Raw genomic sequence first — 15905 nt, 5'->3', positions numbered from 1 at the left:
GGCCTAGTATGAGGGCCTCCACCACAGTCTGCCATGTCTCGGCCCCATGCCCATCACACTCCGGGGATTCCATCTGGATGGGCTTCTCCAGGCTTCCGACTGGTGGCAGTTTCTGGGAAGACTTAGGGGAGGAGGGAAGCGGGGCCACCCCAGCCTGCAGTAGCCACTGGTCCAGGCTCAGCCGATACTCTTTTTTTTTTTTTTTTTTTTTTCAGGCAGAGTCTTGCTTTGTCACCCAGGCTGGAGTGCAGTGTCATGATCTCGGCTCACTGCAGTCTCCACCTCCCATGTTCAAATGATTCTACTGCCTCAGCCTCCCGAGTAGCTGGGACTACAGGTGTGCACCCAGCTAATTTTCATATTTTTAGTAGAGATGGGGTTTCACCGTGTTGGCCAGGCCGGTCTCGAACTCCTGGCCTCAAGTGATCCTCCCTGCCTTGGCCTCCCAAAGTTCTGGGATTACAGGCGTGAGCCACTGTGCCTGGCCTTCGCCTCTCCTGCTGGTGGGACCCAGGCGTTCACCCTGGGGTCCAAGTCCTAGTCTTCTCGCTCTTGCTGGGCTTTACCCTCCCTGCCCCGGCCCGGTAGAGGGTGCTCTGCCTGCTGGTCCGCTGGAACAGGAGTGGCCCCGGCCGGGTGACCCACAGCCATCGAGCGGGGCAGTGCCTTACTCTGTCCCAGGTGGCTGGGTTTTAGGACCTCTGAGCCCTCACAGCTTAAGAGTTGCAGGGAAAGGAAGCACAGGTTGTCAGTGGGTCACTGGGAGCTGGTGAGTGGGCGGCCACTCCTGCCTCTACCCCTTGGTCCCCAGACCCATGCGGTCCTCTGTGGGGCCACTGATTTAGGCCGAAGACCACATCCTGGAGGACGGGACCACCACAGTCCCAGAGGGTTGGTGTCAGGACGGTGGCACCAACTCTTTCCGAGAAGCTCGCCGACGCTCTAGGCTCTGCGGCGCCCGTGTTCCCGCTCCCTCTGCACCCCCTTGCCGGAAGCAGTCAGAGGCCCTGGGGGCCGTTACACAGGAGCCCGTCTCCCAGGGCAGACACGGAGGCATCGTGGGCTGGAAAGGTGGGTCCGTGCCTGGAATACCAGCTGTTGTCTTTCCAAGGGGAAGGGGCCTCCAGGGCTGAGTTTACCTCCAAGTGACCGGTTGGTCTCTGGCTGGTTTTGCGTCCAGGGCCCCTGGTGGTCTTTATGGCCAGAGGACGGGATGTGCTGCTGCCGACAGGAGCTGGGCTTGTCATGGGGCGCCTGGCTTCGTCTGGTCCTCCATCGCTCCAGGCGGGAGCCGTGTGGGAGCACCGGACGCTGCGTCACTGGCCGCGTCATTGGCTTGTGGGTGGCTGGGTGCCCGCTCGGCAGCCGGTGCCCCTGGTGAACACCCACAAGTCCCCACGCTGGTGTCCACCCGGCAGTTCCATTCCCCAGTCCGTCTTCCAGCGTTGCCCTTCTCAGGCCCTGACCGGCCAGCCGAGCCCTTCCCCAGCCCTGTCCACGTGTGTCCTTACCATGAGCTGCTCTCCTCTCCTCATGAGAGGCCAGGGATCGCCCCGACCCCTGACTCCAGGGCCAGCCCAAGTGGAGTGGTCCGACTACCATGAACCCAACCGCCATGAAGCAGGCCGGGCTTGGCCCCCACCCAGTCACAGGGACCCTCTGAGGCTGTGGCCTGACTGGCGGGCAAGCTGGAAGCTGCGCCACCTGCCCGTGCAGCCCTCTGGCTCTCATGGCTGGTGCCCGGCAGTGCACCGCCCCTTACCCTGGATCCTCACTGTGCCGCTGACCTTAGCCTGGGTGGGTCTTGTGGCACTGGCTCCTGGTGGGAGCTGTGGCCACACCATCCCCAGGAACTTCTCTGAACAGTCCGCAGTTCTCTGTTGCAGTCGGGACCTCCTTGCTTCAAAACTTAGGGCTGGTGCTGCAGCTCTTTTGGGCCTTGCCGGAGACCCCTTGACGCATCCTTCCCCACCTGCGGCAGGTGCTCCTGGTACAAGAGCTCTGTTAGCTCACAGGGCCTGAGTGGCAGGACTTTGTTCCACAGCCTCACCAGCTGTGCTACCCTTCCTTTTCCTGGGCCCCACTCAAAACGAGAAGCCTCTGTGCCAACTGATAAAAAGATCTGTGTGTGGTATCGTGCCGGGTCTGGTATCGTGCTGGGGCTGGCATCATCCTGCCGTGTCTGGTATCGTGCCGGGCCTGGTATCGTGCTGGGTCTGGTATCGTGCCGTGCCTGGCATCGTGCTGGGTCTGGCATCATCCTGCCGTGTCTGGTATCGTGCCGTGTCTGGCATCATCGTGCTGTGTCCAGAACCCAGAGGCCTGCCATCTGCCAGCTTCTTTCCTGGTGTTAGGAAATGCAAGGCTCAAAACTCGTTCTTGACCTTGGACAGGACGTCCTAACATGCCCAGATCTCTGGACTCCTAAAACCTTCATGACGTGACCAGTCCCTGAATCTTGGCTCAGCCTCTCTCCTGCCCTGGAGTGCCTGTGTCCTAGCAGGACGCTCAGAACGCCTGCCACTTCCCGCTTGCCAGGCCTGGTGGGTGCGATGCTGTCAGTGAGCGGACTTGCGTGTTTGCGCTTTGGTCAGTTGTCTGTGTGTCTGCATGTCTGTGCGCTGCTGTCCACCTCGTGTGAATGGGAACTGCCCCTGACCTCCTCCCGGTGCAGTGGAGAGCCCTCTGCCCAGCCAGGAGCCACAGGACACCGTCTGAGGCTGTGAGTCTGCTCCAGGAAAGACCACAGACAGCACAGCAGCTGGAGTTGGCACTGTGGGGAGACGCTGTGGCTCAGCCGCCGTCCACCACAGTCTACCCAGCTCTTGTAGGGACCTGACCAGCAAATTAAGTGGGAAGATGGTGGCCATCACCCATGCACCCTTTAGGCATCTGCGGTGTTGCTGACGCCGCCGTTTTGACCAGGAGGTTGTATTGTTTTATTTCCTTGGCTGGAGCTGGGGGTAGTTTCTAAGGTTTCCATTTGGTCTTTCCTACTACAGTGATTTTTACTCCATGGGCCAAAAAGCCCATGTGAGGATTTGCTGTTGAGCATGCCAGTTCCAATTGCACGTTCCTGGGCTGGGAAATGATGGGCTGAGGCCTGGGCCAGGACTCCAGGTCCTTCCTGACCCCATATTCCCTACCCAGATGGGAGCCTCTGAGGGTGCTTTGCGCCCCAGGTGTCAGCGTCCACTCAGACCCTGATCTGGGCGTCTTCCTCTCCCCAGGGCACAGTTGTCCAGATAAGCATCTTTGGGTCCCTGGAGGGACTGGGGGGTCACTGCTGTCCACACTTGGAGGCGTGAGGCCTTTCACAAGGGGACCTGGCCGCTCTTTCCATTTGTGGGCTCTGGCTCTGAGAACTGGCTGACATAAGGAAACAAAGCAAGTGGTTGTGTTTTCCATCAGAGCAGTGGGCCTGGACTCACTCACTCGTTTTAAAATTTGTGGGTGCCGCGTGCTGAGCCAGTGTCCTCCGAGTGTGCCCCGGGACCACCTGGGAGCTTGGAAGGGGCAGAGCCTTGGCCGCGGCACAGACCAACTGAGTCAGAAATCCTGGGCCTGGGGCTCAGCCAGCTGTGCTTTAAGGAGCCCTCCAGGGGCTGCCATGTGCCTGAGTGTGAGAACCAGTGTAGTGAGCAGCTCCTTGCAGGCTGCCCATCTGCGTCTCCTGTCAGACTGTGGCGCTCCATGAGCCAGCTTCATGGGCCCCCATGGTCAGGGTCTTCTGGCCGCTGCCCCCACCTTCCCTCCCGCTGCCAGCACGTCTCAACAGGTGGGAGCTCCAGCGGCTGCACTGCCATTGGTGCCAGGCTGACAGCATCGCCAGGCAGTCGGTGGTGTTCTGACCAACTGTGGCATCTGTGCGCCAGGACCACGTCTGCGCCCCCCCATCCCAGGCAGGCTCCCCAGGGCGGTGCCTCAGTTACACATGGTTTCTGGAGAATTCTCAGAAAAGGGGTGCAACAAGTGGGGAGGGCAAGGAGCTGGCAAAGGGGGCTGGAGCCGTAGCCCTGCCCCACGGACATCTGAGAGGCAAGGGCACAGCTCAGAGGCTCTGACTCCTGCCCACACGTGGGTCTGAGCTGCCTGTGGGGTGGCACGTGGTCCTCAGGCATCTCTGAATGAGCAGCTCTTGTCAGCCAAGGGCAGTGTTCTGGAGGAGGACACAGGTGAGCGTCTGCAGCAGCTGGGGAGGGGAACAAGGACACCCAAGGGGATCTTGGAGGATCGGCCACGGCAGCTGCCTTCACGGTGGCAGCTCCTCAGTAGCAGCGCAGACGGACCGAGAGACCCTTGAAAACTCCTCCCACGTAAATCCGGGTAAAACTTAAATAGCTTCTCGGGTGCATTCTGACGTTACCAAAAAGACAAGGAAACCACCAGGGGTGAAAGAGAAAGGAGGGTCCTCAGTGCAGCGGCTGAGCTGACGCTTCCCGAGGAATTTGCTGATCCTGGAAGGCTGAAGCCTCGGGTTTTAAAGGTCCTCAGGAACAGGAGGCCGGGATGCGGGCCGTACAGCCAGAGGCCTCTGTGGCATCCGGATCCTCAAAGGGCTGCACCCAGCGAGAAAGCGGGTTCTCCGACGATCCAGCCACAGAAGGGAAACACTGGATCCTGCCTGGGCTCTGACAGGAAAGCGTTTCCACTGAGCTTTACAATTTCAGGCCATCCCCCTGTAGGGTCTGGAGAACCCCATGTGGAGGAATTACATCACCATGGCCCCAGGTTGGTTGTTGCCTGGTACCTGGTATGAGCCAATATAATCTTATCTGGAGGTCTTGCCCCCAACCAAGGCTTCCCAGGCTTCAGATAAAAGACCTCGGGCTTTCCAACATGACGCAGTCAAAAGTTACAAGACGCATGGAAACGAGCATCATGAACAAGGGCAGAACTGGAAGCTGAGGGACGCAGGATACTGGAATTATTCAATAAAGAATACACAGTGAGTATGTTTGAAATGTTTATAACACAACAAATCCATAATGTGAGAAGTAAAATTCTAGCTAAAAAGAGCAAGAAGATTTTAAAGAAATTTGATAGAATTTCTAGAAATGAAACATATACTAATAATATTTAAAGCTCAATGGACTAAACAGCAGACGAATCATAGTTGAAGAATTGGTGAATTAAAGGATAGATCTAAAGAAATTACTCAGAATTTATCCCAGAGATGGGAAACAGGAAAGAGAGGTTAGGAGGCAGAACAGAAGACATCTAGCATCAGTCCAGCTGGGGTTCTATAAGAAGATCCTGGAATAAGGTGAGGACGTTTTGAAGAAATAGTGGCTGATAATTGTTTTCCAAATAGATGAAAAACATGAACCATTTATCCAACAGGCACAGTAAAACCCAGGTATGGCAAATAAAACATCTACATCAAAACACATTGTAGTAAAATTGCGGAAAACCGAAAACCAAAAAAGAAAAAAAAATTAAAGCAGCTAGAGAGAAAAGACAGATTCCCTACGAAAGGATAATGGACACAACCCATTAGCAAAAGCGGAAGCCTCTTAATGTGTGTTCCGTGAACTAGGAGCGAGCGCTTCACCCTTGAACTTCTGAAATGAAGACTCTCGAGACCCAGCGCAGACCCACTGTGGAGACAGAAGTGACTCCGTGTTAGGTTCTACTCCACCGTGCAGACTTCTGATGAGCCGCCGTCCTGGGAATGCCCCGATTCCTGCCGTATCTACTGTCCTTAGTGTAAGAACGTGCACTCGCTATGAATCCTGCCTTTCCATCAGAGCAGCCTTGATGTTATTACACAGATGACAGGCGATGTTGCGTTCTTGCCTGTGTGGAGCATGCAGAGCCTTTCCCTACAGAGAAGCTGAGCCCTGGGTCTGGGGAGCAACAGTGCAGAGCTGCACCTGTCCCACCCAAGGCCACCCCTGGTGGCAGGTTCCCCAGTAGAGCACCCTCTCCTGACAAACCGAATCTGTCAGCCTCATTCTTTGGTTTCTCAGCTCCGTCCTCATGTGAGGGTTGCTTTGCATAAGTGAACCTTTCATGGAAAACCCGCTGATCAGAACCTGCATTTTTTTTTTTTTTTTGAGATGAATCTCGCTCTGTTATCCAGGCTGGAGTGCCGTGGCACAATCTCGGCTCACTGCAACCTCCCCGTCCCGGGTTCAAGCAATTCTTGTGCCTCAGCCTGCCGAGTAGCTGGGATTGCAGGTGCCCACCACCATGCCCGACTTATTTTTGTAATTTTAGTAGAGATGGGGTTTCACCATGTTGGCCAGGCTGGTCTGGAACTCCTGACCTCATGATCCGCCCGCCTTAGCCTCCCAAAGTGCTGGGATTACAGGCCTGAGCCACCGCACCCGGCCCGAACCTGCATTTTTTTTTAAGAGATAGGGTCTCCGTCTGTCATCCAGGCTGGACTGCCGTGGACCATCATGGCTTACTGCAAACTCAATGTCCCATTTAAGGAAAAACAATAACAATTCTGTAAAAACGCTTCCAAGAAATTGAAGAAGAGAGAACCTCCTCAACCGGATAAAGGGCATCTATGAAAAATCTACAGCTAACATCATATTTAATGATGAAAAACCAAATGCTTTCCCTTAAGATCAGGAAAAAGGGCAACATTGTATTGAAGCTTCTAGCCAGTGGCAAAAAGAAAAGATAGATAAATAATAAACAAACAAATGGCATCCATATTGAAAAGGAAGAAGTAAAACTGTCTTTATTTGCCATTGACATGATTACCCATGTAGAAAATCTGATAGAATCTACAGAAAAACAACTAGAACTATTGAGTTTAGCCAGACTGTGGGAAACAAGATCAAGATATAAAAATCAGCTGTACGTCTATGTTCTAATAATGGACAATTATAAAGTGAAATTTAAAACATTACTTAAAATAGCATCAAAAATGTGAAATATGAATAATTCTGATAAGATGTGCAAGACCTGAACACTGAACACTGCCAAACATTGATGAGAGAAATTAAACTCCTAAGTCCATGTAGAGACAGACCTTGTTCATGTACTGGAAGACTCGATATTGCTGAGATATGCTCTCCAACTTGAACTACAGGTCAGTGCTACCCAATCAGAATTCCAGTAGGTTTTTTTGTGTGTGGAAATTGACAAACTGATTCTAAAATTAATATGGAAATGCAAAGGACCAAGAGCAGCTGAAACAACCTTGAAAAAGAAAAGTGAATTGAGGGGACGTCCACCATCTGACTTGAAGGGCTGTTGCAAGTCTATTGTAATCAAGACAGCGAGGTATTGATATTAACACAGAAATATAGATCAACCGAGTCCAGAAATAGACCCATGCATCTATTGTCATTTGATTTTAAGTAAAGGTACAGAAGAACTTCAGTGAAAAAATAATGATCTTTTCACCATCTATATGCAAAAAATTAATCTCACACCATGTGCAAAAATTATCCCAAAATGGATCACAACTGGAATCTAAAATGATAAACCATCTAAAGGAAAATGTAAGAGAAAAATCTTTGTCATTTTTGAGTTATATTTCTGAAATATAACACTAAAATTATGATCTATAGAAGAAAGAGATCGATAAATTGGACTTCATCAAAATTAGGAACTTATGCCCTTTAAAATACACTGTTAAGAAAATAAAAAGACAAGCCACAGACTGGGAATAATACTTGTAAATCACATAACTGATAAAGGACTTGTATCCAGAATATACAAAGAACCCCCAGCACTCAATAAACAGAAATAATCCAATTTAGAAATAGACAAAAGATTTCAACAGACCTTTCACCAGTGAAGATATATGGATGGCGAACAGCACATAAAAAGATGCAAGAACATTAGTCATTAGGAAGATAGAAATTAAAATTACAGTGAGACACCATCATGCACCCACTAGAATGCCTGAAAATTTAAAAAGACTAAACATGTCAAATGTTGATGGGAGGTACAGCAACCAGAGCTCTCACACTGAGCTGATGGAAATACCAGTGCTTCAACCACCTGGAAAAGAGTTTAGCAGATGCAGGCTGGGCACCGTGGCTCACGCCTGTAATCCCAGCACTTTGGGGCTCCTGAGGTCAGGAGTTCAAGACCAACCAGGCCAACATGACGAAACCCCATCTGTACTAAAATACAAAGTTAGCTGGGCGTGGTGGTGCACGCCTGTAGTCCCAGCTACTCGGGAGGCTGAGGCAGGAGAATCGCTTAAACTCAGGAGGCAGAGGTTGCAGTGAGCTGAGATCACGCCATTGCACTCCAGCCTGGGCAATAAGACTGAAACTCAGTCTCAAAAAAAAAAAAAACTTTTACTGCCTTTGTATTTTTCAGGAAGAGGGTAGAGATTTTGATTGGGACTCTGGACTTTGTCAAATATCCATGTTGAAAATGTAAGAGCAACTATTCAAAGAATGGAGACGCAGTGTGTCTGTCCGTGGAGTCCCAACAGGAAACAGGGTGGCTGAGGAATGCTAACAAAGAAGCCATTCACCGCGGCATGGGCGGGGGGTGGCAGCGGGAAGGAGGGTGGCCCTGCAGGTCGCTGGACCTGCCGGCACTTGCTACCTCAGGCAGATCCTGGTAGAGGGCTGCTGCTTCCCGTTACGGTAGAACAGGTTTCTCCATTTCCAAGGTGTGTGTGTGTGTGTGTGTGTGTGTGTGTGTTTTGAGACAGAGTTTCACTTCCGCCTCCCGGGTTCAAGCGATTCTCCTGCCTCAGCCTCCCCAGTAGCTGGGAATACAGGCATGAGCCACCACACCCGGCTAATTTTGTATTTTTAGTAGAGACAGGGTTTCACCATGTTGGTCAGGCTGGTCTCGAACTCCCAACCTCAGGTGATCCACCCGCCTCAGCCTCCCAAAGTGCTGGGATTACAGGTGCGAGCCACCACGCCCAGCCTCCAAGGTGTTTTATCTGCTGTGTATTCACCTGGTTCTGAAAAGTCCCAACGAAACAACTTAATATTACAAATTTCATCATCAAAATGGCTGACCCCAATCAGGAAACATGTGGGCTCCTGAACATTCCAGAAGCAGCAGCGATGCCAGACAGGTGAGCCCCAAAATTGAGGCTGAGCCTGGGAAAGAATTCAAGGACGAGCCGGTGTGTTAGACAGCAACTTTTAATTTTTTGAGACAGGATCTTTCTCTGTCGCCCAGGCTGGAGCACAGTGGTGCCATCATAGCTCATTGCAGCCTTGACCTCCTGGGCTCAAGCAATCCTCCTGTCTCAGTCTCCCGAGTAGCTGGGACTACAGACGTGTGCCACCACACCCAGCTAATTTTTGTATTTTTTTGTTGTAAAGACGGGGTTTTGCCATGTTGCCCAGGCGGGTCTTGAACTCCTGGGCTCAAGCAATCCGCCCACATTGGCCTCCCAAAGTGCTGGGATTCCAGGAGTGAGCCCCTGCACCCAGCCTAGACAGCAACTGTTACTAAGTGGCCAACCAGACCTGCAGCAAAGGGGCTGCTCCTTGAGAACAGGGACCACCCGACAGGCAGTGCACCCAGAGTCGCAGCTGAGGCAGGGCTGAAGTCAAATTTATACCCCAAATTTTTTTTTTTTTGAGACAGGGTCTTGCTCTGTCACCCAAGCTGGAGTCTGGTGGCGCCATCAGGGCTCACCGCAGCCTTGAACTCCTGGGCCGAGGTGATCCTCCTACCTCGGACTCACAAAGTGCTGGGAATACAGGGATGAACCAGGGCATCCAGCCTGCCCACTTTTACTTACATGCAAATTAAGGGGCGGTTTATGCAGAAATTTCCAGGATGAGGGTGGCAACTTCTGGCTTGTCTGGTTGTTGCCATGGAAAGGGGCAGTAACTTCTGGGTGTTACCACGGAATGGTAAAATGACATGGCACACTGGTGGGCGTGTCTTACAGGGAGGTGCTTCCACCTCCCTGTAAGACACTTGTTTTAGCTAATCCTCACTTTGGTCCAGTGTCCAAACCCCACCTCCGGAGTTGAGTCCTGCCTCCTACCTCAGGAGGAAGGCTGCCCCAACTGCTGGGCCCTGGGAGAGGCCGTTCTTCAGTGCTGGGAATGCATTGAGCAGGGCTGCACGCCACAGACAGGAGTGGAGCCCTCCCACCCCAACACACACACAAGGCCACCCAGCAGTCTTGTGTCCTGGGCAGAGGGCTGATATGGGGAGGGGCAGCCCCCAGGCAGGAGACAGTGGAATTGTGATGGGGATTGCACTGAATTTGCAGGTCAGCTTGGGGAGTGATGCTGAGATGACTTTCCGTTCAATCATGTCCTCTTCATTTCCTTCAGTAATGTTTTCTAGTCTTAAATATACAAGTCTTGACTTTCTTTGGCTACGTTTATTCCTGAGTATTTTATTATTTGCAGTGCTATTGTGTGTGGAGCTGTTTGCTTAGTCTCATGTTTGGATTGCCTACTGCTAGCATGAAATACAACTGATGTTTGTATATTGTGGAGACAGCCCACCGAGCATCGCACCTGTCCTCCAGGGCCTCTCAGGACAGCCCAGCACGGTGGCTGGGCCTCGGGGGCAGACCAGCTTGCCCTCCCTACTGGATCATATGCAGGCAGGACCCGGGTCTCTGGGTCCCAAGCTCTCGCCCCCGGCCTGTTTGCCCACCAGGTCCCAGGGACAACGCTGTCAACAGGCTCCTCCTCCCTGGGCCTGGCATGGAAGGGCTTCTTGGTTCTGAGGCCTCAGCTGGTTCCAGCCGACCAACCCACAGCTCCCTGGCAGCCGCCACCCTGAACTGGAGTCTCGCCATAACCCTGGGCTGCGGGCCCTGCTGGGTGAGGAAGAGAATGCTTAGGTAGCTGCAGCTGCTGACCCGGAGGAGGAACCTCTCTCCTGGAGGCATTCATCCCACACTCTAAGGAAAGGGAATGGACCACTTGAGCCCAGGAGTTCGAGGCAAGGCAGGACGCCCTGAAGGGATGGGGCAGCTGTGATCTGTGGGAAGTGGCTTCCTGCTCTACCCGTCTCGGAACAGGAGGCTTTGCCGTCCTAGAAACGCGTTCGGAAGATGGGACACCTTCAGCTTACTCAACTCACCCGCTTAAATCCCTGAGTTAAAAAAAAAAATTAACTGATCGTCCTTAGGAGATCCCGGCAACAAGCTTACATTTTTAAAATTGATAAATAAAAGAAAAGAATCAAGCTCTTATTCTGTCTTTCCTATGCAGATGGGCCGCTGGGTAACCAAACAGCATGAGAGGGAGGTTTGTCATCGCGGAAGTATTCCAGCCAGTGAACAAAGAAGGCATAGCTGAGGGGATATCCACCTTCCGTGCCAGACAGCGCATGTCAGCCTCCCAGGGGATGCAAGCCTCAGCCCCGCAGACCTGCTGGAAACCTGGTCAGTTCCACCATGTCACATCCTGACACATTTCAGAGCCTTTTGGGGGCAGAGTCTTATCCCCCACCCTGGAGCCCTGTGCGTGTTTGCTGAGGGACTGCTGGCTTCAGCCCCCCGAGGAAGCCACACCCCTGGGGACCACAGCAAAGGGACCAAAAGCTAAGTGGGGCTAGAGCTGGGAAACGCTGGGGCCCTTCCTTCCCACTCTAGGGGGCAGCTGCCTGAGTCCCCGGCCTCCCCTTCCCTCCCCCTGCTCAGGAGTGGGGCTTCTCTTGGGCCTGGTCTGAGGATGCTAGACTGTGGGGTGGTGGAGACATGGGCCTGCCCTTGGCTTCAGGGCCTGGACTCCTGGCTGGGTCCCACTCTACCCACACTCCCTCCAGGTCTGCCAGGAAGATGAGGCACCACCTGCCGTCTCTGAGGACAGAGGCTGGATGGAGCCCATTCACGAAGACCAGGCTGAGCAGCGTACGCTGGGCCGCACCCCATTCAGTCCTCTTCTGTCTTATGTTGTGATAGGTTCAGAGGCCAGGCCAGCACGAGCAGAGTGGCTTTGCAGCCCCCTGGGTGGTTGCAGGTGGGTGGTTGCAGGTGGGTGGTTGCAGGAGGCCACCCCTCAGGGGCGCTGCCAGGACATGGGCGGCCTTCACGTGGACAGTGGTTTTGTGCTTTCCACCAGCACAAGGTCCACGGCGGCGGCTGCTGCGGGCTCCCCAGCAGATGGCAGCAAAGCGCCTACCAGCCCCAGCGTCTCGTCCCGGCCACCTGTCTCACTCCTGCTTTCTGACTAAAGTGGGGACAGCAGGCTGTGTCCCATCTGGGAGGCGCCACCTCACCCCCTGGAGGGGAAACCAGCCCAGTAGGCAGGGGCGGGGGATGGGGGGTGCTAGCGTCATCTCAACAACCCATGCCCCGACACAAGATGCTGGCCCCCAAACTCCTCCTCCCCAGAGATTTCTCATCCCCAGGACGGCGGTTGCAGGCAGAAGGGTTTGGAAACATTAAACGTGAATTATTCCAATTGGTAAAAAACAAAACAAAACGAAACAACTAGATCCTGGTTACTTTATAATATATAATACTCAAAGGATTATAAATTTCTTCTTTTTTGTTGTTGTTGTTGAGACAGTTCTCGCTCTGTCACCAGGCTGGAGTGCAGGGGCACGATCTCGGCTCACTGCAACCTCCACCTCCCGGGTTCATGCCATTCTCCTGCCTCAGCCTCCCGAGTAGTTGGGACTACACACGCCTGCCACCACGCCCGGCTAATTTTGTTTTTGTATTTTTAGTAGAGACGGGGTTTCACCATGTTGGCCAGGATGGTCTCGATCTCCTGACCTCGTGATCCACCCGCTTCGGCCTCCCAAAGTGTTGGGATTACGGGCGTGAGCCACCGCGCCCTGCCAGGATTATAAATTTCATTTTTATTTCAGCCTCTCTGGGCATGGGAAGGATCAGCTGAGGAGTGAGGATGGCGGCGATTACCCACAGCCTTAGCGTGACCTGCTCATTTGCAGCACCAACCAATGAAAGTCAACAGAAAATGTGAAAAATGGCAGTCCATGCCATGAATACACGTCATTTGAAAAAAGCGTCCGCGGGTGCCACTGGCACTCACACACACGCCCTCCACTTAATGTCTCCACTTAATACCAAGAACCTTCAGTTGAGAATCTATTTTATTTTATTATTATTATTATTTTGAGATGGAACCTCACTTCATTGCCCAGGCTGGAGTGCAGTGGTGCGATCTCAGCTCACTGCAACCTCTGCCTCCTGGGTTCAAGCCATTCTCCTGCCTCAGCCTCCCCAGTAGCTGGGATTACAAGTGACCACCACCACATCCGGCTAATTTTTGTATTTTAGTAGAGATGGGATTTCACCATATTGGCCAGGCTGGTCTCAAACTCCTGACCTCAAGTGATCCACCCGCCTCAGCCTCCCAAAGTGCTCGGATTACAGGCATGAGCCACCATGCCCGGCCAATAATCTATTTTAAATGAGAAAAATGGCCAGGTGTGGTAGCTCACGCCTTAATCCAAGCACTTTGGGAGGTCAAGGTGGGAGTATCACTTGAGCCCAGGAGTTCGAGACTAGCCAGGGCAACATAGTGAGACCCCCATCTCTACAGAAAATACAAAAATTAGCCAGGCATGGTGGCACACTGCTATGGTCCCAGCTATTTGGGAGGCTGAGACGGGAGGATTGCTTGAGCTCTGGAGGTCGAGGCTCCCAGACTCATGGCAGTGAGTTGTGATCATACCACTGTATTCCAGCCTGGGCAACAGATGGAGACCCTGTCTCAAAAAACACAAAATTTTTTTTTTTTTTTTTTTGAGACGGAGTCTCGCTCACTCAGTGAGCTCACGATCTCCGCTCACTGCAAGCTCTGCCTCCCAGGTTCACGCCATTCTCCTGCCTCAGCCTCCCGAGCAGCTGGGACTACAGGCGCCCGCCACCACGCCCGGGTAATTTTTTGTATTTTTAGGAGAGACGGGGTTTCACCGTGTTAGCCAGGATGGTCTCGATCTCCTGACCTCGTGATCCGCCCGCCTCGGCCTCCCAAAGTGCTGGGATTACTTTTAAAAAATGAGAAAAATTACAATGTTACTATAAACCAGGGAAGCGTGTATGCCAGTAACACACACGACACGCAGGTGAACTTAACATTTCGTGCAGGTGGCGTCCTGAACGCAGGGTGGAGCAAATCTCTCTGCAGGAGCCCCAGCCCCACCCTGGCTGTGCGCACGCCTCTTTGTTGGTTCTCAAACTTTGCAAAATGCCCCCATGTTATTACAACCACTACACATTGTTTCTGAAATGTGACTTAAGACTTTTCCCATACATGGTTTTGTTAAAATTCTCTTACTGATTTTTGGGGATATAAATACAACATGTTCCTGTATAAATATTGCTAGCAAGTGTAATGAGAGACACATAAGTTCTTTGAAGTTTCGGTATTAAAAGCCCAGAGGTGGTCAATGGCAGGTATGTGACTCTTGTGGGTGTCCTGTGGGCTCTGCGTGTACCAGGCTCAGCTTCCGGTGAGGCAGTATCTAGGATCCAGAAGACCATTCAAACAACCGCACACGTGGGATAAGGCAAATATCATTCATTTGGCAGAAATCATAGCAAAATTTAATAACAAGCTGCCAAATCATGTCTGTGGAAAGCGATCATCTATACTAAATATTACGATGTGTTACTTAGAGGGTAAATTATCCTACCCAATAAATAAAATTATGGCAGAGGGAATAAAGGTGATGATTTGGAATGAGGGGAGTGGTGGTCCCTAGCAGTGCTCCCCAACTCTGCTTCATCTTCGGGTGGGTGGGAGGGGCCGGACTGCCTGGTCCCATCATGGCCGGGAGGGGAACCGTGGCGGGGAGTCATGAGGTGGTGCCATGTGACCAGTATTGGCCAATGAGGAATGAGAGGAGGTATTTACATGGCACCTTTACGCCAGAGCATTTACTTACTATTGCACGACCCTCCAGAGCCTCTGTGTCTCATCTGGGAAGACCTGCAATGTTCTAGGCAGCAGTCATTCCATCAGCCTGGGTCCTGAAGCAAAGACGGAAGAGAGAAACTCAGCCAACCCCTGCCATGCAGTGCGAGTGAGAACAAGCTGTGGCTTTAAGCTGGAGACGCTGGGGTGGCTTGTGAACGTGACATAAGCAAACCTATCGCAGTGGATGGACTTTGAGGCCAGGGAGGGGGATGCTGCTACTGCAAACCCCACGGGACACTGACTAGTGGCCTGACCGCAAAGCACTTATCAGAAGGGCAGAGACCAGCATTATGCAAAACACTTGGCAAAACTGTCTCCAAGATAACTGGGAAGCAGGTTTCGAATCAGTGAATTTGTGTCCAAGAGAAGGGGTGGAAATATAGCTCGTGAAATACGTAGGTCACTGTGGCCGCACGTGCAGGGCGTTGACAAGGGAAGGTGTGTCGGACTACCGCAAGCAGGACAACAACAAATCCTGGAGGGGAGGAGAGAATCTAATTTCTAAAGTTGTCGCATTATGTTGTTTTATTATTTTTACGATTGGTTTTGTTGAGACAGAGTCTCGCTCTGTTGCTCAGGCTGGAGTGCAGTGGCAAGATCTCAGCTCACTGTGTCCTTGACCTCCCCAGGATCAGGTGATCCATGCATCTCAGCCTCCTGAGTAGCTGGGACGACAGGTATGCACCGCCATGCCTGGCTAATTTTTCATATTTTTTGTAGAGATGGGGTCTTGCTCTGTTGCCCAAGCTGGTCTTGAACTTCTGGGCTCAAGCGATCTTCCTGCCTTGACCTCCCAAAGTGCTGGGATTACAGATGTGAGCCACTGCACGCAGGCCTATATCCTATTATATATATAAAGTATATGTATATATTTTTTTTTAATTTTACATTTATATATATTTTTTAGACAGAGTCTTGCTCTGTCGCCCAGGCTAGAGTGCAATGGCGTGATCTCAACTCACTTCAACCTCTCCTTCCCAGGTTCAAGCGATTCTCCTGCCTCAGCCTCCGGAATAGCTGGAACTTCAGGCGCCCACCACCACACCCGGCTAATTTTTGTATTTTTAATAGAGACGGGGTTTC

General features: G+C 52.2%; 3 annotated features.

The window, feature by feature from the left end:
- Positions 11309 to 11879: an enhancer, noted in NCBI's record as "H3K4me1 hESC enhancer chr8:144977006-144977576 (GRCh37/hg19 assembly coordinates)". NCBI's record gives its function as "activates a minimal SCP1, AML or CMV promoter by ChIP-STARR-seq in primed H9 embryonic stem cells {active_cell/tissue: H9 hESC(primed)}" and the evidence as "EXISTENCE:reporter gene assay evidence [ECO:0000049][PMID:30033119]".
- Positions 11922 to 12216: a silencer, noted in NCBI's record as "tiled region #5026; K562 Repressive DNase matched - State 8:EnhW". NCBI's record gives its function as "represses a minimal TATA promoter and a strong SV40 promoter by Sharpr-MPRA in K562 cells {active_cell/tissue: K562}" and the evidence as "EXISTENCE:reporter gene assay evidence [ECO:0000049][PMID:27701403]".
- Positions 12136 to 12185: a silencer, noted in NCBI's record as "silent region_19627". NCBI's record gives its function as "represses an Ori minimal core promoter by ATAC-STARR-seq in GM12878 lymphoblastoid cells {active_cell/tissue: GM12878}" and the evidence as "EXISTENCE:reporter gene assay evidence [ECO:0000049][PMID:35858748]".

The sequence above is a fragment of the Homo sapiens genome, chromosome 8 (assembly GCF_000001405.40).
Source record: "Homo sapiens chromosome 8, GRCh38.p14 Primary Assembly".
In the NCBI taxonomy this organism is placed as follows: Eukaryota; Metazoa; Chordata; class Mammalia; order Primates; family Hominidae; genus Homo; species Homo sapiens.
Note: the sequence above shows the minus strand (reverse complement) of the source record. Positions and strands in the feature narration are given on the sequence as shown.